The 22,680-nt window shown below is 41.5% G+C and overlaps 1 protein-coding gene and 1 long non-coding RNA gene across 2 annotated transcripts, besides 1 other annotated feature; one reads left to right on the top strand and one right to left on the bottom strand.

The window, feature by feature from the left end:
* Positions 1-1,911: 1,911 nt before the first annotated feature.
* On the bottom strand, positions 1,912-4,984 carry RAB6C (RAB6C, member RAS oncogene family). Its single transcript, NM_032144.3, has one exon. It carries the CDS (start codon positions 4,532-4,534, stop codon positions 3,770-3,772), a length of 765 nt encoding a protein of 254 aa, NP_115520.2. The 5' UTR covers positions 4,535-4,984; the 3' UTR covers positions 1,912-3,769.
* Positions 4,178-18,058, top strand: RAB6C-AS1 (RAB6C antisense RNA 1). The gene is made up of 6 exons (NR_036537.1): positions 4,178-4,366; positions 4,481-4,613; positions 5,559-5,702; positions 7,442-7,596; positions 15,848-15,899; positions 16,272-18,058. It is a non-coding gene; the product is annotated as an RAB6C antisense RNA 1 (long non-coding RNA).
* Positions 21,820-22,386: an enhancer, noted in NCBI's record as "NANOG-H3K27ac hESC enhancer chr2:130719837-130720403 (GRCh37/hg19 assembly coordinates)". NCBI's record gives its function as "activates a minimal SCP1, AML or CMV promoter by ChIP-STARR-seq in naive H9 embryonic stem cells {active_cell/tissue: H9 hESC(naive)}" and the evidence as "EXISTENCE:reporter gene assay evidence [ECO:0000049][PMID:30033119]".

The raw sequence follows: 22,680 nt of genomic DNA, 5'->3' as shown, positions 1-22,680 counted from the left end.
ATTTCTGCCTGGGGATACTTACTGGACAACACCATTGGCAGCAGAACCCAGACAGAGCTTGGAGAAATCCCTGAATTGAAGAGAGACAAATATTATTTTAGGAGGGCTAAGTGAGCATCTCAAATTTAAAGTAACGAACTATACAAAGAAAGAGCTCCAGAAATCAGCATAGGTTTCCCCTGAGTGACCCAGGGACTGGCTAATTGAGTGAGCATCCAGCCCCGGATCTCGTGTCTAATTCCCCTCCTGAATGTCCAGGATCACTACCTTGAGCTGTCTTCATATCTGCAAATGACAGATTCATCTCTGCCCCTCAGGACTGCAGAAACCTGTGCAAATACTTTCTACTTTTTATGAAAAACATGCACAATTTCACAAGCAAATACCATTTCCTGTGTTTTGGAGCATTAGCTCAAACTTTGGAATTCAGAGTTATGGGTTAGACCCTTTACTCACTTCACCTTTCTCTGCATACTTGTGCCTGATTTTTCCTCTTTTTTATTTTTGTTTTTGTTTGAGACAGAGTCTCACTCTGTCACCCAGGCTGGAGTGCAATGGCCTGATCTTGGCTCACTGCAACCTCCTTCTCCTAGGTTCAAGAGATTTATAAAAGAGCAATATAAATCCCTGTGGAATTCCCCTTTTACTTAAGAATTTAATATCAGCAAATTAGTTTAACAAGGCTGTTTTGTAAGAGGCTGCGGTTGCATTCAAAAATTGGAATGGGAACAACGACTTGTAAAAATTCAACATTTTATTTATTTATTTATTTGAGAGGGAGTCTCACTCTGTCACCCAGGCTGGAGTGCAGTGGTGTGATCTTGGCTCACTGCAACCTGGGCCTCCTGGGTTCAAGCGATTCTTCTCCCTCAGCCTCCCGAGTAGCTGGGATACAGAAACGCGCCACCACGCCCAGCTAATTTTTGTAGGTTTCACCATGTCGGCCAGGCTGGTCTTGAACTCCCTACCTCAGGTGATCCACCCACCTCAGCCTCCCAAAGTGCTGGGATTACAGGTGTGAGCCACCACACCTGACCAAAAGTCAACACTTGAAACTACCACCTGTTATATTCACTGTGTCTGTGATTGGACATATCTTTTTCGGTGGCCAAAAAATTATAAAACGGACACAGAATAGTCTCTTCAAAAAATTAAGGATGTTCTTTCTTCTTAAAAGGATTATAAGGCCAGACGCGGTGCCTCACAACTGTAATCCCAGCACTTTGCGAGGCCAAGGTGGGCAGATCACCTGAGGTCAGGAGTTCAAGACCAGCCTGATCAATATGGTTAAACTCTGCCTCTACTAAAAATACAAAAATCAGTCCAGCCTGGTGGTGGGTGCCTGTAATCCCAGCTACTAGGGAGGCTGAGGCAGGAGACTTGCTTGAACCTGGGAGGCGGAGGTTGTGGTGAGCCAAGATTGCGCCACTGCACTCCAGCCTGGGCAACAAGAGCAAAGCTCCGTATAAAAAAAAAAGGTGTGTGTGTGTGTGGGAGGATAATAAATATAATTCGAACTGGCATCTAAATTAATTTTAGTCGGTATGTGTGTGCACGTTGTGTGTGTGGATGTGTGGATGTAAATGGCAGTAAAAGGTAAAAGGGAAAGGCGGTAAAAAGGGAGATGATCTAACATTTTCAAAACTTTTTATTTTTGTTTCCTTTTGTGTTTTATTTATATATTTTTGGCAGCAAAATTGTGTTTACTAAAAAAAAATCTGGACTATGAACACACTTCACTGCTTTGAAGAACTCCAAGCCAAATAAAAAGACCAATCAATATTAAAAGCAGTATAACTGGTTACTTTCTTAAAAATACATAAAAAGAATCAAATGCAACAGTGTAGGGAGAAAATCACCCCCATGTCAGAAGTCATGACTTCTTCCAAATAAAGAATATGACCCATCTGCCATAGTGAATCAATATTTATTTCAGGACATGCCATGTCAAAATAAAACAAAGAGTCAACCCTTGCCTTTAGCAATTATATTGTATTATAAAAGCACTTTATAACTCCATCCCATCTTTAAGTATAAGTTACTGGTATGTGGGCTAATGATTATCTGTAAGCATTTCTCTATTCAGATCCATAATCCAAGTGCTCTCTGAATATTACAAAGTGACAATAAGTGGGAAGTGGAGGAGGAAGAGGAAAGAGAGGGGACTAAGGTTCTCCCAGTTTAAGGTTTTGTTGCAATGAGGGGATGAGGAAGTATGAAGATACTTTTGTTGTCTTTTCATCTTTATACTGTGTTAAGTAACGTTTACAACATAAATTCAGCAGGCTTTTCCTGACCTGTAACTCGAAGTTTTCTTCCTGCAAACAATGTATTTACAAATGTGTTTATTAGCTTACACAGCAATCTCACAATAACTAGTAAAGATTAAAAGGGCACACTCCTAGTATATTTGTTTGCAGTGTTTTAAGGGAAATACATATTGCCATGGTGAAGCTCTAAATAGATTCAACGAAACATCTAAAAATGGAAAGTTGTTAAAAAAAAAAAAAGCAAAGAAATATCGCCAAAGAAAAAATATTAATCGTAGCTTAAATATAAAACTAAATCACTAGTTAAACTATACAGATCTAATACAAACCAAAACCAGCCTGAAAGACCCAACCTTAAAAAATGCTAAAAAATAAGGCATAAATCTGCATAATATTCAGTTTTATTTCCATTCTCTCCTTTCCCTCTACTATGTATGCTTTACCTGATCTGCCTCTAGGGGCTTACAAGAAAACGGTTTCCGGTTTCCGTCTTCCGTCTTCCGTCTTCAATTTGACCTCAAATGTCCTGAGCAAAGTTTTTGCTATTCTGCTGAGGGTTCTTTTGCTGGTAAGCTTTAGATATCGTTATTTCTGCTAATTCAGTAGTTTTGATCGTAGTGCCAAATTTAAATTCTTCCACTGGTTCTTCTGTAAGGAATTAAACTTTTATGGTGTCTTGCCTGCATAGTATTATTTTTTTAAGAAAGAAAACCCAAGCAAAATCTATTGCTTACAGAGGTTTCTTACTTTTTAAACAAACAGAATAACTCTTGACAATTTTAAAACCTTGGGAGAAATAGTTCATTAGAACTTCATTATCTTACCATGAAGAAGTAAATACTAAAAACCTGTTCTGAAGCACTTGGTTACTTTTCTCTCCCAGAGTCTAATAAAGCACATGTGAAAGGACCATTTGTGTTAGTCAGAAATACATTTTATGTTCTGCTACTTATAAGTACTCAGTATGTTCTTTAGGACTCATTTTGAAGATGCACCAGGAGGCTTTTCTCATTCAAGCACTGCCTACCGTGATCGCTGAATTCTGACCTCAAAGAAGATCTAAGTAATTTACATCAGTGCTCAAGAATAATTCTGGACATCTTGGTCCACAGCCTACAGCAAGTGGTATCTGTAAAATTAAAGGATAATTCCAGTGGGCTTGGTCGGACTGCTGCTTTGCCATCTCTTGTTTGTTTTGAGGAAGTGGGGGGAGGCTAGGTAAGAACACGGAAATAGGGAACGGGGTAAGGGAGAGGTGAGAAGAGCAAGGAGAGATAAAGCAGGCTGTGAACATACTGCTCGTTAACCAAGCCATACTCATACTGTTGAGATTTCCATCATTTTGAAGTACATTATCATAACATTAAAAAAGAAAAAAATGTTAAGAAAATGTATCTAATTTTTAAAGTTATCACCGGAATATGCTGAAATAATTTGGCTTTTTGTAAAATATAAATAATGAAGACGCTGACTTTTTTTGTGCTTGTGAAGCTAATAGATCACCTCCACGAGACAGGCAGCAATGATGAATTGCAAAACGTTATTAATGAAGGGAAAAGGTTCAAGCCAATATTCACACTGCAGTCAATGAAAGAGTAAGGGGGCTTCTGAGGAAGGGTTGAAGATGACATGGGAGAGTAGCAGGAACAACCCCCTTCGCTGACTGTTTGCTCCTGAGGCTTTTCCAGTTTTATGTCACTCATGTCTTCTCTGCTTCCGTCCTGTGTGCTTTCCATTCCCGGCAAAGCTGCTGCTACACGTCGAAAGAGCTGCTTTACATTGTATCCAGCTTTTGCCCTAGTTTCAATAAACGTAACATTCAGCCCTTTGGCTTTCCTCTCTCCCTCCTCAACTGACACTTGCCTCTTGTCAGCAAGATCTGTTCTATTTCCTACTAGCGTGATGATAACATCACTTCCTCTTTCTGTTCTGACATCATCAATCCACTTTGTAGTTTGCTGGAATGAGTTAACATTTGTGATATCGTAAACTACTACAGCTGCAGCAGAATCACGGATGTACCTGGGAATGAGGCTACGGAGACGTTCCTGACCCGCCGTATCCCACAGCCGAAGCCCGATTGTTCCATCCTCCAAGTACATAGTTTTTGATAAAAAGTCAATGCCAATTATTGCCTGATAGGTGTTGTCAAAACTGTCATACCTGAATCTGGTGATCAAAGATGTCTTTGCAACGCTTTGCTCCCCCAGGAACACCAGCTTGAATTTCCTCAGCGGATTCCCGAAGTCTCCGCCCGCGGACATGGTGGAACTAGAGGAGCTGTCGCCGCCTCAGCCCAGAGACCTCCCGGACCGATGCTCCTCCAGCCGGCTGACGAAAAAGGCGAGCGGAAGGGCGGGCGCCGAGCTCTCTGCGCCCCTGCAAGGGCCGGTGGAGGAGCCCGGCTGGAGGAGCCCGGCTGGAGGGCAGCAGGGCTCGCCACAGACTGGCAGCCGCCGCCGCCTCCCGGCAGAGTAGCCGAGCACGGAGCGAGGCCCGCGGCTGGGAAGGGAAGGAGGGCGGTGTCGGCAGGAGCCAGGGGTGTGCTTTGGCTTCCCAAGGCTAGGGCCGTTCCCTCCTTCCGCACCCGGCTCAGAGACCTGCGGGAGAGAGACGGAGGGTGGCGGAGCCCAAACCGCAGATGTATCCGGGATCTCTCACGCGCGGCGCTTCGGCTTCCCCAGCCGCCGCCGCCGCAGCCCAACCTGCTGAGTGCGCGAGCCTCTGGCGCAGGGCGAGCCAGGGCGCCTCAACACAGTTTTTTAAATACACAAAACATATGTACTAAAAACAATGGTGCGGTGAAAACAAAATAATGCAAACTAGAAAAAGGACAAAATTGACATTTTAAAAACTTTATTATGTATTATTAAATATATATTAAATAGAAATGTTATAAAATTTAACGTCCCTATCTCCCCGTCTCTGTGAGAGGTCAGAAACCTAACTTTTCTAAGCCACAATTAAGCAAACACATCTGGCCTAATCACATGGACCAACATCTCTCCTAACATCAGGCAGGAAGTTTCAGTAGCTCCTGCAAAACTCTCCCACCTTGCATTTGAACAGAAATGTCAACTGATACAATTACCCAAGACTTGTATTAGACTGAATCTCACAATCACACTCAGCCTGATTATTAACCCTTCTCCTGCATCTTGCTCACCTAAATGTATCTACATTTTCTATGAACTGAAGAGCTTAGAAATGTATGTCGTCCATGTATTATAGTGTAAGTTATTGTAATATAGAAATATGGATTTTCTTTAACTCCCATTTTCTGCCTAGGAAATAGCAATGTTTTTTGAGTATGGCAAGTGTTTCCAAGCATTCAGAAGTGGAGAGTGTAGGATATCCACTGCAAAATGAGGTCTGCTTGTCATCCTCTTAGTCTCCACTGCTATCCCTCCCTCATCTCTCTCTGTTTCATTGGTGAGTATGGAAGATCAGTCACTTTTATATGAAATGAAAATTGATGAAACTAAGGTGTTGATTTGATTATCCAAGCAACCATTTATTGAGTGTTCATTACAAGTCAAATTGTGTTCTGGAGAACAGCTCAGGAAATGAATGTTTGACATCGATGTACATAACAGAAATACGAACATACCATTAAAAACTCAGACCTCTTATGACAATCCAGATTCTCATGTAAGTTTTGTGAAGCTCTTTCAAGATGAAAATGTAACAATTCAAAAAAAATTATTTAAACAAGTCATTCTTGAGACATAAAAATGGAATTAGAAGATCATATATGGCTGTTTCACTAGCTGAAATCTAAAGTACTGTTTTTAGTCAATTAACGGCCATATAATTGTTAGTTTTATATACTGATATTCATCAGAAATTAAAAACTTTAAAAAGTATTTCTGTCTCATTCTACTAATTTTAAAATTTCATTTATTTGGTTATATTTCTTCATTTTACCTGGCCTTGAATACTTCTTTCCTGCCCAGCATTAAGTTTAATTAATGTCTAATTTGTTTACTTGGTTTAGTTACTTTTGATCATGCTTGGTACACTTCTTATGGACCAGGCATGTAGAAATGTTTACAAGTTTATGGTCCTCACTCTTCCAAATCCCTAATGGCGGCACCCAACAGACACATACCACAATGTAAACACATACTCACACGCACCTGCACACCCATACTCACCCACCTACACGCAGACACACACCCATACTCACCCACCTACACCCAGATACACCTGCACTCACCCACACACACCCAGACTCACCCACACACACCTGTAGTCCCCAGCTACTCCCAAGGCTGAGGCGAGAGATGCTTGAATCTGGGAGGCAGAAGTTACAGTGAGCCAAGATCATGCCTCTGCACTCCAGCCTGAGCGACAGAGCAAAACCCTGTCTCAAAAAAAAAAAAAAATTAGACAATTGTGGTAGCCCATGCCTGTATTCTCAGCTACTTGGGGGAGCTGAGTTGGGGGGATCACTTGAGCCCGGGAAGTCGAGGCTACAGTGAGCCGTGGTCATGCCACTGCACTCGAGCCTGGGTGACAAAGCAAGATCCCTTCTCTACAAAGAAAAAAAAAAAAGAAGTCATCCACCATGGGCACTGAGTCTGATAACCACATACTTTCCTCAGCATAAATCTCCCAGTAGAGTTGCTTTTAGAAAATAGAAGTCATCCCAGCGCAGTGGCTCATGCTGTAATCCCAGCACTTTGGGAAGCTAAGGTGGGAGAATTGCTTGAGCCCTGGAGTTGGAGACCATCCTGGGCAACGTAGTGAGACCCCATCGCTATATACAATTTTAAAAAGTGGCTGGGCATGGTGGCATGCACGTGCGGTCCCAACTACTTGGAAGGCTGAGGTGGGAGGATGGATGGAGCCCAGATGGTGGAGGCTGCAGTGAGTCATGATCACACCACTGCACTCCAGCCCCAGCAGTGGAGTGCGACCCTGTCTCAAGAAAAAAAAAAAAAAAAAAAGGAAAAAGAAAATAGAAGTCAAGAATGGGGGCCCAAATGACTGTTCTGAGTTTCTTTGGTCTGTAGTTATTTTTGTATTGTTTCACAGCCTTTCTCAAAAAAAAAAAAAAACAAACCCAAACAAACGAAAAAACCACCACCACTACCACCAACCACCACAACAACAAAACAGGTTTTAAGTGACCTAATAGGTATTCTGTGTCTCTGGTTCTTTTTCAGAGACCAAAAGACTAGGAGCCTGGCTTCTAGTTTTCAAAAGAGCTAAGTGACTGACCTAGGCTGATGACTCGCAATCCTCGTTTTACAGTTGAACCACCTGAGGAGCTTTTTCAAAATACACATGTCTGGTTTCCAGACCCAGAGATTCTGATTGGGTAAGTCTTGCCTCAGAGATGGGAATGTGTTCTTTTTAAAAGCTCCACAGATAATTTTAGGAGGCAATGCCAGTTAAAAGCCCCCAAATCAGACCCCATTCAGCAGATGCTAGTGTAGGTTAATACTGTGTGAGAACGCTAGAAAAAATTATGTTTGTATTTTCTATAAGCATATACAGAAAGTATGGTACAATGAAAAACATGGTTATAGTAATGCCAAATTGCCTTCCAATTAATTTCTTATGAAGATATTAGTTAATTAGTTGAATTAATTTCTGGTCAAGATATACTATGACCTCTATTATTTTTCTATTCTAAAAGTGGAAAATAAGATACTCTATTACTATGTTTCAATAATAAAAATAATCAATATTGATTGTGTACCACTATGTCAGAGACTGCTAAGTATGTTAAATAGAATTATCTTACTCTCTTTTCTTGTTTATTTTTTTTTGAGACAGAATCTTGCTTTGTCGCCCAGGCTGGAGTGCAGTGGCACAATCTTGGCTCACTGCAATCTCTGCCTCCCAGGTTCAAGCAATTCTCCCTCCTCCGCCTCCCGAGTAGCTGGGATTTCAGGAGCCTACCACTGCGCCCAGCTAATTTTTGTATTTTTAGTAGAGACGAGGTTTCACCATGTTGGCCATGCTAGTCTCGAACTTCTGACCTCTCAGGTGATCTGCCTGCCTCGGCCTCTCAAAGTGCTGGGATTATAGGCATGAGCCACTGTGCCCGGCCACAAGCTAGACTTTCTATGAAGAGGAGCAGAAAGTAACTTTATTATTTCTTTCTCACCCCTCTCCAAGTAAATTTGCTTTGTGGATTGTTCCCCACCTTCCACCGTATCTCTGGATGGAATTTCAAGCAGATCATAGGATTTCCAGTCACCATCTGATATTATCCATTCTAGCCCGTTCTATTTGTTACAACTATAAACTTTCTTCTAATTCAGAATGTCTGTTCTCCTCCAGCTGGGAGAGGCTCAGGAGCCTGCAGTGGGGAGAAGGATGCAGTTGACTTCACCTTCTCCTCTATTCACTAGTAATCGCTGCTTGTGGTCCCTTGGGATGGTGGGAATAGTTAGGGAGAACAAGGATCATCCTTAAACAGCAGCTGCTGGCTGGGCACAGTGGCTCACACCTATATTCCCAGCACTTTAGGAGGCCTAGGGGGGCAGATCATTTGAGGCCAGGAGTTTGAGACCATCCTGGCCAACATGACAAAACCCCATCTCTACTAAAAATACAAAAAATACTAAAAAAAAGCCAGGCATGGTGGTGCGTGCCTGCAGTCCCAGCTGCTTAGGAGGCTGAGGCGTGAAAATCACTTGAACCCGGGAAGCAGAGGCTGCAGTGAGCCAACTGCACTCCAGCCTGGGTGACAGAGCAAGACCTCGTCTCAAAAAAAAAAAAATTAAAAAAACAATAAACAGTTGCTGCCTTGTGATCAGGCAGCTGGGTGCTGTGTACACTGTGTATCCAGTCTATTGGCTCTTTCTCTTTAGAGGGAATGTAGTAGATTTTGAGACACTGTTCATCACCTGGGATCTCCCTTCTGCAGTTTCCTTGATGGTTGTTCAGATACCTCCTCCAGAGTGCCACTTGCAGTTTCACCCTCAGAGTCTGTGTTCCGGGAAGAATTACCCTTTTATTGAGATCACTTCCATCCTTCAGGTGGGCCTGTGGTACAGGGTCCCTTTTAAACCTACTCATGTCCAGTGCCTTCTCCAGGATCTGTATGGCTCACAGTATAAACAACTTCAGTACCCCTCCAGTGGGATAATCTGCAAGTGCATGCAGTTCACAGTGCGGTGGTGCTTCCTTCTCTCCCAGCAAGCAGTCCAAACCAGTGTTTACTCTTTGGAATCAGATGTTAAATCATTCCCCAAATTCCAGGGGACTCATGTCAAGCTCTACAAATGGTCCTGTTGAAGCCATTGTCTGGGCTTGACTTGTAGGAAACGCCACAGCTCACTAGGACCTCTTTCCAATGGCCTCTGCAGCATCCCAGTGGAATCTCGGATTGTAAGTGTCCGGCCCAGCCCCTCAACTTGGAATGTAGGAGTGCCTGACACCTATTTTGTTGTTGGCATTTGGAGTATCTGATGAAAACCAAAATACTCAAATTTAATATACAATTTTTTTTGAAGGGCAGAGGGAGAACAGGCATAGAGGTTAGGTCACTATTATTACGTTCTTGAAATCATTTCTTTTTTTTTTTTTTTTGAGACGGAGTCTCGCTCTGTTGCCCAGGCTGGAGTGCAGGGGTGCAATCTTGGCTTGCTGCAAGCTCCACCTCCTGTGTTCATGCCATTCTCCTGCCTCAACCTCCCGAGTAACTGGGACTACAGGTGCCCACCCCTCGCCCGGCTAATTTTTTTGTATTTTTAGTAGAGACGGGGTTTCACTGTGTTAGCCAGGATGGTCTCGATCTCCTGATCTCATGATGTGCCCGCCTCAGCCTCCCAAAGTACTGGGATTACAGGTGTGAGCCACTGTGCCTGGCCTTTGAAATCATTTCCTTATGGTCTAACATGTTAGAATGTATCATTGAGATCACTATAAATCAGAATAAATACTCCTTTTGAATTATGAGATGATGGTTAGGCGTGGTGGCTCACACCTGTAATCTCAGCACTCTGGGAGGCTGAGGCAGGCTGAACACCTGAGGTCAGGAGTTCGAGACCAGCCTGGCCAACATGGTGAAACCCTATCTCTACTAAAAATACAAAAAAACAAAACAAAACAAAAAATTAGCTGGGCGTGGTGGCGCATGCGTGTGATCCCAGCTACTCGGGAGGCTGAGGCAGGAGAATTGCTTGAACCCGGGAGGTGGAGGTTGCAGTGAGCCACAATCACAGTACTGCACTCCAGCCTGGGCAACAGAGCAAGATGTCTCAAAAAAAAAAAAAAAAGGAATTATGAGATGAATGAATAAATTTAGATGAATGAAGACATGTATACATTTACAGCCTGCCAAATAACTACTTGTAACATTTGGGTGAATTTCTTTATTTTTCATGAATGTGTTAATTTTTTAATTCAATAAGCAACATGCGCAAAACAATATTCTGGACTCCTCTGGACCCTAGATACATACAGCAACAATCTTGGAGGAAAAAAACAGGTAGCAAGAAATCAACATTTAGCAAACACCTCCTCTGTGTTAGGCCCTAAATAAGAATTTCAATGCATAGTCAAGATATTCATATGAAGTCTCTTAAATCCCATGTTTTAAAAAATACAGTAAATCATTTTTTGGTGAATTCCTTTTCACTAGAGATACGATTGGACTACATGTTGACTTTATAAGTGCCATAATCATAATACGAAATAATTTCCCATGTTTTTAAAATCTCTTGGTAAATAATTTCAAAGTTTGCAAAAGACTCCTGTAATTGTATATCCCATAATTATTTAACCTTCTAACAATGCACATTTACTCTTTAACCATTTTATGTATTTCTTATTTTCTTCCTTAGGCTAAATCCGTGGATATAGAATTACTGAGTGAAAGAACCGTTATAAAGCTCTTGGTACTTACTGCAAAATTGCTTTTCAGTCGGGTTTTAGCATTTTACGTTTCCACTACCATTCTATGAAATTGCCATTTCTGGCCAGGCTCACACCTGTAATCCCAGCACTTTGGGAGGCCAAGGCGGGCAGATCAACTGAGTTCAGGAGTTCGAGACAAGCCTGGCCAACATTATGAAACCCCGTCTGTACTAAAAATACAAAAACTAGCCGGGCGTGGTGGTGCACGTCTGTAATTCCAGCTACCTGGGAGGCTGAGGCAGGAGAATTGCTTGAAACTGGGAGGCAGAGATTGCAGTGAGCCGAGATTGCACCACTGCATTCCAGCCTGGGTGACAAAGTGAGACTCTGTCTCAAGAAAAAAAAAGAAAAAAAAAAGTGCTATTTTTGATGATGGGGGGCAAAAACCTTTTGCTATTTTGGTAGATTAAAAACGGTTATCTAGCCATTTTAACTTGTATTTATTTGATTACAAAGTGAGGTTCAACTCTTCTTTGAAGGTGCTTGTAGTTCTTGTTACATAATAATATTTTAACAAGAAAAATAGAACGGTTTTTCCTTAGGGTAAATAACATAGTATCTCTTTGAGGCCAACATTCATGTTCATTATTACCTTTTTACAATCTGGAATTTTCCATTCAGAATATATGGCTTATTGTCTCAGTTCAGAAATTAGATTCTTGCTGCTTGTTTACCCCAGTTGGCTCTGCAGCCCTGAGAAAGGTTTTTCAGTTCTTGCAAACATTTGTATGTAGAGTAGATTTTATTACCATGTAGAAACAGAACAGAAGTTCTTGACAAGTGGAAGTACTCTGTGATAGGGCAGCCTCGAGTGAACAAAACAGGTAAATTGTGAAATTTTTCAAGTATCAGAAGTAACATTTTTTCCTAAGGCAGGAAACAGTATACTCACAAAGAGATTTTTACATCTGCCTGGGTCTTGGTGGAATCATTAAGGGAAATGTGAATTAAATTAAGAAAACTTTCTTAAAAGGCTTTTGTCTTTCAAATAGGCAAAATGAGCTAAGAATACAGATAAAGGTGTGTGAATGAGAACAAGTTATGATGACCCCAGGAAAACCCTTCTCCGAGTTACCTGGCCACCAGCTGTGACCCCTCTGAAGGAGGAGGAAACAAGCACTGCTGTTCAGTGAGCCTGCTCTTCCAAGATGCCAACTCATCTTTATTTTTCTTTCCTAAGTATCTTACACATTTACAGGATCATATAAATTTATTTTCCAAAACAAAATATTTTTGTTGTTTCACCCATTTCAAAACAAACGTGTTTGTTTTTAAGTTAATAATGTTGTTAAAAACTCAGCTTATAAAATTGAAAGTTGCTAGGAGTGGTGGCTCATGCCTGTAATCCAATTACATATATACATATAGATATAATCTCTTCTATAATTGGTTTCCATGGTCATATATGCCTATTTTAAATTGTATTTTATTTTATTTTTTAAGAGATGGGTCTCACTATGTTGCCCAAGCTGGCCTTGAGCACCCGTGCTCAAGAGATCCTCCAGCCTCAGCCTCCCAAGTAGCTGGGACTATAGGTGTGCCACTGCACTGGACTAACATATGCCTGTCTATGTTTATACGTATAAAGTTATTCATCCATTAATATTAGTGCATAGAATTCTATTGTATAGATGTGCCTTAATGTATTTAAGAAATCCTCCTTCTGATGGGCTTTTAAGTCTCTACTTTTTTACTATTACAAGCAATACAGCAATGAACATGAATTTCGTGTATTTGTCCCACTTTGGTATTTGTTCTCTTACAAAAAATTCCAAGATCTGGAATTTGAAGATTAAAGAATGAATACTTTTGTCTGGGCATTGTGGCTCACGCCTGTAATTCCAGCACTTTGGGAGGCCGAGGCTAGTGGTTCACCTGAGGTCAGGAATTTGAGACCAGCCTGGCCAACATGGTGAAACCCTGTCTCCACTAAAAATACACACACACACACACACACACACACACACACACACACACACACAAATTAGCTGGGCATGGTAGCAGGCACCTGTAATTCCAGCTACTAAGGAGGCTGAGGCAAGAGAATCGCTTGAATCTGGGAGGCAGAGGTTGCAGTGAGCCGAGATCGCACCACTGCACTTTAGCCTGGGCGACAGAGCAAGACTCCATCTAAAAAAAAAAAAAAAAAAGAATGACCTTTTAATTATGATATGTATTTCTTCCATACTGCCTTCAAAACTGTGGGACTAATTTATGCTTCTAACCGAAGTATATGATAGTGCCCATTTCCCCACAATCTCACCAATGTTCTAATGGGCTGTCTGTCCTTTGCTTACCTTTTCATAGGCGCTCCTTGTTTTTTCTGATCTTCAGTACCTTGTCATTTAGATGTTTTGCAAATATCCTTTCTCACGGTCTTTTTATTCTGTTGGGCCTTTTGATAAACAGAAGTTTATGAATTTAGTCAATTTTATTCATTTATTTGTATTAAAGTTATATTCTTTTTTTTTTTTTTTTTTTTGAGACGGAGTCTCGCTCTGTCGCCCAGGCTGGAGTGCAGTGGCGCGATCTCGGCTCACTGCAAACTCCGCCTCCTAGGTTCACGCCATTCTCCTGCCTCAACCTCCTGAGTAGCTGGGACTACAGGCGCCCGCCACGACGCCCGGCTAATTTTTTGTATTTTTAGTAGAGACGGGGTTTCACCATGCTAGCCAGAATGGTCTCAATTTCCTGACCTCGTGATCCACCCGCCTCGGCCTCCCAAAGTGCTGGGATTACAGGCGTGAGCCACCGCACCCGGCCTAAAGTTATATTCTTTTACAGTATCTTCTAACAGTTTTAGAATTTTTTTTTTGACATTTAAGTTTTCATTCTACCTAGAGCTTTTTTTTGTAAGAGAGAGGTTTCCAACTTTACCTTTTCCATCTGGATGCCCAATTATCCCAGAGCTATTTATTGAGACATTCAGTCTTCATTGATGTGCCCTGTCTTTACTTATATGTATGGATCTGTTTCTCAACACTCTATTCTGCTCCATTGGCCTGTTTATCCTTGGGCTAACACAACACTGTCTTAATAGCAGCAGCTTTATAATCATTGTTAGCTGATAAAGTATGTCCTCTCATCTTGTGCAATAGGATTGCCCTTTCCTACACCTTTGCAAATTCTATGCATTGTCCTGTGTTCAAAAACAAAAAATAAAGCTGTTGAGATTTTTATTGGATTGACCATGTGAACTAATCTGGAGAACATTGACATATTTCCATTACTTTTTTTTTCTTTTTTTTCCTTAAGGTCAGGAAAGCATCACATATTTCTATTACTGAGTCTTCTAAACGATGAAATTATCTGTCTCCATTTATTTAGATCTCCTTTAATATATCTATAATTTTTAAGAGGTTTTACACGTTGTTAGATTAATTTCCAGCTACTTGTACTTTGAGATGCTATTATAAATGACTTTTTTAAAAAGATGGGGTCTCACTATTGTTGCCTAGGCTGGTGTCAAACTCCTGGGCTCAAGTGATTCGCCTGTGTTAGTCTCCCAAAGTGCTGGCATTACACGCCTGAGCCACCGCACCAACTGTTTTTTTTTTTTTTTGAGATGGAGTCTAGCTCTGTCGCCCTGGCTGGAGTTCAGTGGCATGATCTCAGCTCACTTTTTTTCATTTTCTAATTGTTTGATGGTAGTTTTTATGAATGTAGTCAATTTTTTATATTGACCTTATACCCAGCAACCTTGCTAAATAAATTTATTAATTCTAATAGTTTGTAGATTATTTTCAGTTTTTCAGGTATAAAACTGTCCAGAAATACAGTTTTATTTCTTTCAATTGTGTATACCTTTTATTTATGTTTCTTCCCTTATTCTATTGCCTAGAACTTCCAGCAGTGCTGACTAGAAGTGCGCCCCGTTCTTGACCTCAAAGGAGAACTTTCAACATTTTGCATCGTGTTTATTCTAGAGTTTTGTAGATCTCCTCTGTCAAAATTAGGAAGTTCCATTGTATTTCTAAATTTGCTGAGAACTTTTATTAAAAATGGATGTTAGGTGTGGACGCAGGTGGCTCACACCTGTAATCCTGGCACTTTGGGAGGCTGAGGCAGGAGAATCAGTTGAAGCCAGGAGTTCAAGACCAGCCTGGGCAACAAAGTAAGACACTGTCCCTACAAAAAAAATAAATAAATAAAAAACAAAAAACCTAGCCAGGCGTGGTGGTGCATGCCTGTGATGATCCCAGCTACTTGGGAGGCTGAGGTGGGAGGATAACTTTAGCCCAGGAGTTTGAGTCTGCAGTGAGCTATAATTGTACCAGTGTACTCCACTGTAGGTGACAGAGTGAGACCCCCATCCCTGAGGGGGTGGAAAAAGAATGGATAGTGGAATTTATCAAATGCCACTTCTGCATTTATTAAGATATTCATATGATCTTTCTCCTTTTATCTGTTACTGTAGAAAATTATACTGTTTTTACATATATTGTTTTTAAAATTATAAATAAAAGTCATCCAAATGAGACTTATTTCCATACAGATGAGACTGTAGCAAGCCATTCACTTCCATTGGGTCATTTTTTTTTTTTGCACTTCGTTTTAAGCAATTGAATTTCAATGACAATATAAGCAGGTGTTTATCATGAGTGTGTGCCAGGCTCCTTCCTGAGCACTTTGTGTGTATTATCCCATAAATCATCTCAACACTCAGTGAGCTAGCTACTGCCATTCCTGTTTTTCAGATGAGAAAACTGATTTGGAGAGATACTGAGTGATTTGCCCAGGTCACAGCTGGTAGGTAGCCACGCTAGGATTTAAATCTGGTCTATCTTGAAAACATTTGATCTGAAGCCATACCAGTGCGTTTTACTCCATGCAGCCATCCGAATCACATGAGAAACAGTCTTATAATACTGTGCCCCAGAGAGTAGCCAGCCAGACTGGTTCTCAGGGACTAGTGTACCATCCAAAATACATTTATTAGAAAACAAGAAAGAAGAAAAATAAACAAACCATCCAAGATAAGAAGCCAGAGAAAAGCAGCAAAATAAATCCAATGAAAGTAATGGAAGGTATACATTTTAAAAAACAATATAGAAGACAATAACTCCCATGAAACTGTAAGATTAACATTCTGGTGTTTAAATTTTGTTTTTTCTTTTTTAGGCATAAAGGCAACACAAGTGGTCAGGCTCAGCTACTCTGGTTCCTACAGACTTTCCCCTTTGGGATAGCGTCTCTCACCATCTTGACTGCTTACCAACAGAAGCGCCAAAACCAAACTTGAGGATGTCCACAAGCTTGCTCTACACTTCTACATTCATCCTCATCTTTTTTGTGTGTGTTTGTGGGGTAGGGGAGGTGCAGTGTTTACTCAGTGATCTTTCTACTTTCTAGAAAGTGTCTGTCCTTCAAAACTATTTAAGAGCCTCTCATTAGTCATTTTTTCTCTTATATGCTCTGGTTGAGCTTGAATAGACCAGTTGTTGCTTAAGAAAGAAACTGAAAAGATTTTAGCTTTTCAGTCCTATTTGGCAGAGGACTTCAGCTACCTTCTTATGGTCTTTGGCTGTGTTGGTGCCCTCATGTGCTCTGGGCTAAGCCACATACTAAATTGACTTTTTGGTTTGTATACCCTTGCTCTCGCCTTCTGATGAAAACACCTTACCCTCACCACCACCATCTTTGCTCTCCTTTCCCAAAACTCTTTCCGCCTTGCTGCACTAAGATAGTGACACCTCCACCACACGTCAATTCCACACACATTTATTAGGTACCTGTGAAGCAGGATCTTATCCTCTTAAACTTCCACTTCTCACACTAGAGAGAAAGATAAGGAAGATGAGCAAGTGCCTGGAATGGGGCAGGCTGAGTGGTCACACAGGCACAGAGGCACACTGAGAACCTACAGGGGAGACTGCAGAGTGCCTTCCCTGATGCTGCAGCTGGAAGTCATCCTTCCCTCCACCTGGCCCCTGAGACACTCTACTCTGTAGTGTGCAGTCTGATGGCACTGCTAGATTTCTTTTTCAGCTCAGGGCCACAGCTTAAACAGCTTTACCTTTCCCCTCAGCACCTGTCCCACTACCTTGCACACAGGTACTCTATCCGTGTTTATTGAACAAAGGAGGGAAACTGATTTCACTTTCACTTGTTCATTATCATTCCAATTTTTATGTGAAAATGGCACAACCCATTTGGGGTACACTCATCTCAAAAGAAAAGCCCAAGACTACCTCTGACTGGTACCACCTTTTTTGTGGGTTCCTTGGTGAGAAACCTTTATCTTTTTCATACTTTTCTATTCTCCATCACTTCTCCAAAAGTGTCTCTTTCCAGCTCTGATTTATTCAAAACACACAAACATTCCTGTTTAGAGATTCTAGCCCATGGATTATCCGGCTAGTTAGTACCTCTCCTGTTCACTTGGTTATACTTTATTATTGCTCAGAGGTTGGGGAGGCAGAATGACTGTGTCCCCTCACCCTGGCAGAATGACTGTGTCACCACTAGGAGCCATTAGGGCTTCTTCCCAGGAGGACTGCCTGCTTGCTTTCTGGGGACTAGCCCTTATTTCCCTTCTGTGGTCCAGTGGGGCAAGTGATTTGTATTAGACAAATATTTATAAGAAACAACCCCCTCCCCAAAATAGAGCCACCAAGTAAAGCACAAGCCTGAAAGATGATGAACTATGAATTGTCTCTAGTGGATATAAATTTCTGCAAATATATCTCAGTCTTTCTCTCTTTTCTCTGGTGATTAAAAAGTTGGTTTTTGGTAAGGAAAAGGATTTTTGACCATAGAGTTATGCATCATGGAAATTCAAACCCGATTTCTTAATACCTGGTCTTCTCCGAAGAGAAATAATGATAGTAATAGTGGTGCTGGGAACAATATGGAAGATTATTGAATGAAATGGATTAACTTGAATAAAATGCTGTGAATTATCTCTAGCTGAATGCTTTTCTTGTATTTGTCAGTTTTGATATATTGATGCACATTTGATTCTTTATCTCAAATAGACTTTACTAGGGAACTGTTTATACACTTCAGATCCCAGTTTGTTTTTCACTGATAAAGAAATGCAAAGCACTGTGGTTGTCGGGTATATATGTATTATATTTGTAGACCTGTCCATGCCCCACTTACCTCCTCCACGTACAGTGAATCACTACGGTAGACATAAGTGTCTCCTTTTCATTGTAGGATTGTCTCCTTTTTGTTTCTGTTTTTATTCAACATTTGATAAAGTCTATGCACTAAGTAAGGAGTGTTCTGGCATTTTTTTAATGCACGAAGTCCAGGATGCATCACTTAACAACGGGGATGCATTCTGAGAAATGCATTATTAGGTGAGTGCATCATTGTGCAGATATCACAGGGTGTACTCACAAACCTAGATGGCGGAGCTGACTACGCACCTAGGCTATATGGTACAGTCTGTTGCCCGTAGGCTACAAACCTGTACAGCATATAGAGTAGTACTGAATACTGAAGGTAACTGTAACACAATGGTAAATATTTGTGCACCTAGCTTTTCTTTAGGATGGGATTTTAAAAAAAATAGACAAACAGGCCAGGCACAGTGGGTCACGCCTGTAATCCCAGCCCTTTGGGAGGCTGAGGTGGGCAGATCACCTGAGGTCAGGAGCTCAAGACCAGCCTGGCCAACATGGTGAAGCCCTGTCTCTACTAAAAATACAAAACAGCCAGGCATGGTGGTGGGCACCTGTAATCCCAGCTACTTAGGAGACTGAGGCAGGAGAATGGCTTGAACCCGGAAGGCGGAGCTTGCAGTGAGCCGAGATTGTGCCACTTCACTCCAGCCTGGGCAACAGAGCGAGACTCCATCTCAAAAAACAAAACAAACAAAAAAATAGCCAAACATAGAAAAGGTACAGTAAAAATGTGGTGTTCTAATCCTATGGAACCAGTGTCATATGTGCTGTGTGTCATTGATCAAAACGTCAATATGCAGGCACGCCTGTATAAAATCCTTTCATCTTATTTGGGGTATTATCATGGCTTAGATGCAAAGGGGGATCTAGTGAGCAAATGGTGCAGATCGTTCCTTTCATAGACCCATAAACATCTCAGTGAGGTGAAGTAACTTGCCCAGTATCACACAGAGAGGCATGATTCTGGGCCTCGTGTTGCCCACCTCCCCCATCATCCAGGAGTTTAGTAGTAAGTCTGTGAAGCAACAAATTTAAAAATGGAGACATCTTGGCTTTGTGTGGTAGTCATGGTGGTGATATGGGAGAAACAGCTTTATGTTGATTTTGGATGAGAAAAGGCCAGAGGCATCTTGGTGGAAGCAACCATGGAAAAAAACCAGGCTAAACTGTTTTCATACCCACTCCTTAGATTTCCAAAGCACATATAGTTTGGAAAAATAAAAAAGGACAAAAAACCGACAAAAAAAAAAAACAAAGACAAAACAAAACAAACTAATGACCTCAGAACTTGGAGGGGCAACCCACCCCTACATCTGGTGCCCCCCAGGGACAGGCCATAGTTGAAAGAACTAATAGAACACTCAAAACTCAATTAGTTAAACAAAAAGAAGGGGGAGACAGTAAGGAGTGTACCACTCCTCAGATGCAACTTAATCTAGCACTCTATAGTTTAAATTTTTTAAACATTTATAGAAATCAGACTACTACTTCTGCAGAACAACGTCTTACTGGTAAAAAGAACAGCCCACATGAAGGAAAACTAATTTGGTGGAAAGATAATAAAAATAAGACATGGGAAATAGGGAAGGTGATAACGTGGGGGAGAGGTTTTGCTTGTGTTTCACCAGGAGAAAATCAGCTTCCTGTTTGGATACCCACCAGACATTTGAAGTTCTACAATGAACCCATCGGAGATGCAAAGAAAAGCGCCTCCACGGAGATGGTAACACCAGTCACATGGATGGATAATCCTATAGAAGTATATGTTAATGATAGTGTATGGGTACCTGGCCCCACAGATGATCGCTGCCCTGCCAAACCTGAGGAAGAAGGGATGATGATAAACATTTCCATTGGGTATCGTTATCCTCCTATTTGCCTAGGGAGAGCACCAGGATGTTTAATGTCTGCAGTCCAAAACTGGTTGGTAGAAGTACCTACTGTCAGTCCCATCAGTAGATTCACTTATCACATGGTAAGCGGGATGTCACTCAGGCCACGGGTAAATTATTTACAAGACTTTTCTTATCAAAGATCATTAAAATTCAGACCTAAAGGGAAACCTTGCCCCAAGGAAATTCCCAAAGAATCAAAAAATACAGACGTTTTAGTTTGGGAAGAATGTGTGGCCAATAGTGCGGTGATATTACAAAACAATGAATTCGGAACTATTACAGATTGGGCACCTCGAGGTCAATTCTACCACAATTGCTCAGGACAAACTCAGTCATGTCCAAGTGCACAAGTGAGTCCAGCTGTTGATAGCGACTTAACAGAAAGTCTAGACAAACGTAAGCATAAAAAATTGCAGTCTTTCTACCATTGGGAATGGGGAGAAAAAGGAATCTCTACCCCAAGACCAAAAATAATAAGTCCTGTTTCTGGTCCTGAACATCCAGAATTATGGAGGCTTACTGTGGCCTCACACCACATTAGAATTTGGTCTGGAAGTCAAACTTTAGAAACAAGATATCGTAAGCCATTTTATACTATCGACCTAAATTCCAGTCTAACGGTTCCTTTACAAAGTTGCGTAAAGCCCCCTTATATGCTAGTTTTAGGAAATATAGTTATTAAACCAGACTCCCAGACTATAACCTGTGCAAATTGTAGATCATTTACTTGCATTGATTCAACTTTTAATTGGCAACACCGTATTCTGCTGGTGAGAGCAAGAGAGGGCGTGTGGATCCCTGTGTCCATGGACCGACCGTGGGAGGCCTCGCCATCCGTCCATATTTTGACTGAAGTATTAAAAGGCGTTTTAAATAGATCCAAAAGATTCACTTTTACTTTAATTGCAGTGATTATGGGATTAACTGCAGTCACAGCTACGGATGCTGTAGCAGGAGTTGCATTGCACTCTTCTGTTCAGTCGGTAAACTTTGTTAATGATTGGCAAAAAAATTCTACAAGATTGTGGAATTCACAATCTAGTATTGATCAAAAATTGGCAAATCAAATTAATGATCTTAGACAAACTGTCATTTGGATGGGAGACAGACTCATGAGCTTAGAACATCGTTTCCAGTTACAGTGTGACTGGAATACGTCAGACTTTTGTATTACACCCCAAATTTATAATGAGTCTGAGCATCACTGGGACATGGTTAGACGCTATCTACAGGGAAGAGAAGATAATCTCACTTTAGACATTTCCAAATTAAAAGAACAAATTTTCGAAGCATCAAAAGCCCATTTAAATTTGGTGCCAGGAACTGAGGCAATTGCAGGAGTTGCTGATGGTCTCGCAAATCTTAACCCTGTCACTTGGGTTAAGACCATCGGAAGTACTACAATTATAAATCTCATATTAATCCTTGTGTGCCTGTTTTGTCTGTTGTTAGTCTGCAGGTGTACCCAACAGCTCCGAAGAGACAGTGACCATCGAGAACGGGCCATGATGACGATGGCGGTTTTGTCGAAAAGAAAAGGGGGAAATGTGGGGAAAAGCAAGAGAGATCAGATTGTTACTGTGTCTGTGTAGAAAGAAGTAGACATGGGAGACTCCATTTTGTTATGTACTAAGAAAAATTCTTCTGCCTTGAGATTCTGTGACCTTACCCCCAACCCCGTGCTCTCTGAAACATGTGCTGTGTCAAACTCAGGGTTAAATGGATTAAGGGCGGTGCGAGATGTGCTTTGTTAAACAGATGCTTGAAGGCAGCACGCTCCTTAAGAGTCATCACCACTCCCTAATCTCAAGTACCCAGGGACACAGAAACTGCGGAAGGCCGCAGGAACCTCTGCCTAGGAAAGCCAGGTATTGTCCAAGGTTTCTCCCCATGTGATAGTCTGAAATATGGCCTCGTGGGAAGGGAAAGACCTGACTGTCCCCCAGCCTGACACCCATAAAGGGTCTGTGCTGAGGAGGATTAGTATAAGAGGAAGGCATGACTCTTGCAGTTGAGACAAGAGGAAGGCATCTGTCTCCTGCCCATCCCTGGGCAATGGAATGTCTCGGTATAAAACCCAATTGTATGTTCCATCTACCGAGATAGGGAAAAACCACCTTAGGGCTGGAGGTGGGACATGCGGGCAGCAATACTGCTTTGTAAAGCATTGAGATGTTTATGTGTATGCATATCTAAAAGCACAGCACTTAATCCTTTACCTTGTCTATGATGCAAAGACCTTTGTTCACGTGTTTGTCTGCTGACCCTCTCCCCACAATTGTCTTGTGACCCTGACACATCCCCCTCTTCGAGAAACACCCACGAATGATCAATAAATACTAAGGGAACTCAGAGGCTGGCAGGATCCTCCATATGCTGAACGCTGGTCCCCTGGGTCCCCTTATTTCTTTCTCTATACTTTGTCTCTGTGTCTTTTTCTTTCCTAAGTCTCTCGTTACACCTTACGAGAAACACCCACAGGTGTGGAGGGGCAATCCACCC

Source organism: Homo sapiens, chromosome 2 (genome assembly GCF_000001405.40).
Source record: "Homo sapiens chromosome 2, GRCh38.p14 Primary Assembly".
NCBI lineage: Eukaryota > Metazoa > Chordata > Mammalia > Primates > Hominidae > Homo > Homo sapiens.
Note: the sequence above shows the minus strand (reverse complement) of the source record. Positions and strands in the feature narration are given on the sequence as shown.

What these genes read in the sequence shown, in the direction of transcription:
- RAB6C (NM_032144.3), bottom strand. Translation starts at nt 4,534, where the DNA reads ATGTCCGCGGGCGGAGACTTCGGGAATCCGCTGAGGAAATTCAAGCTG.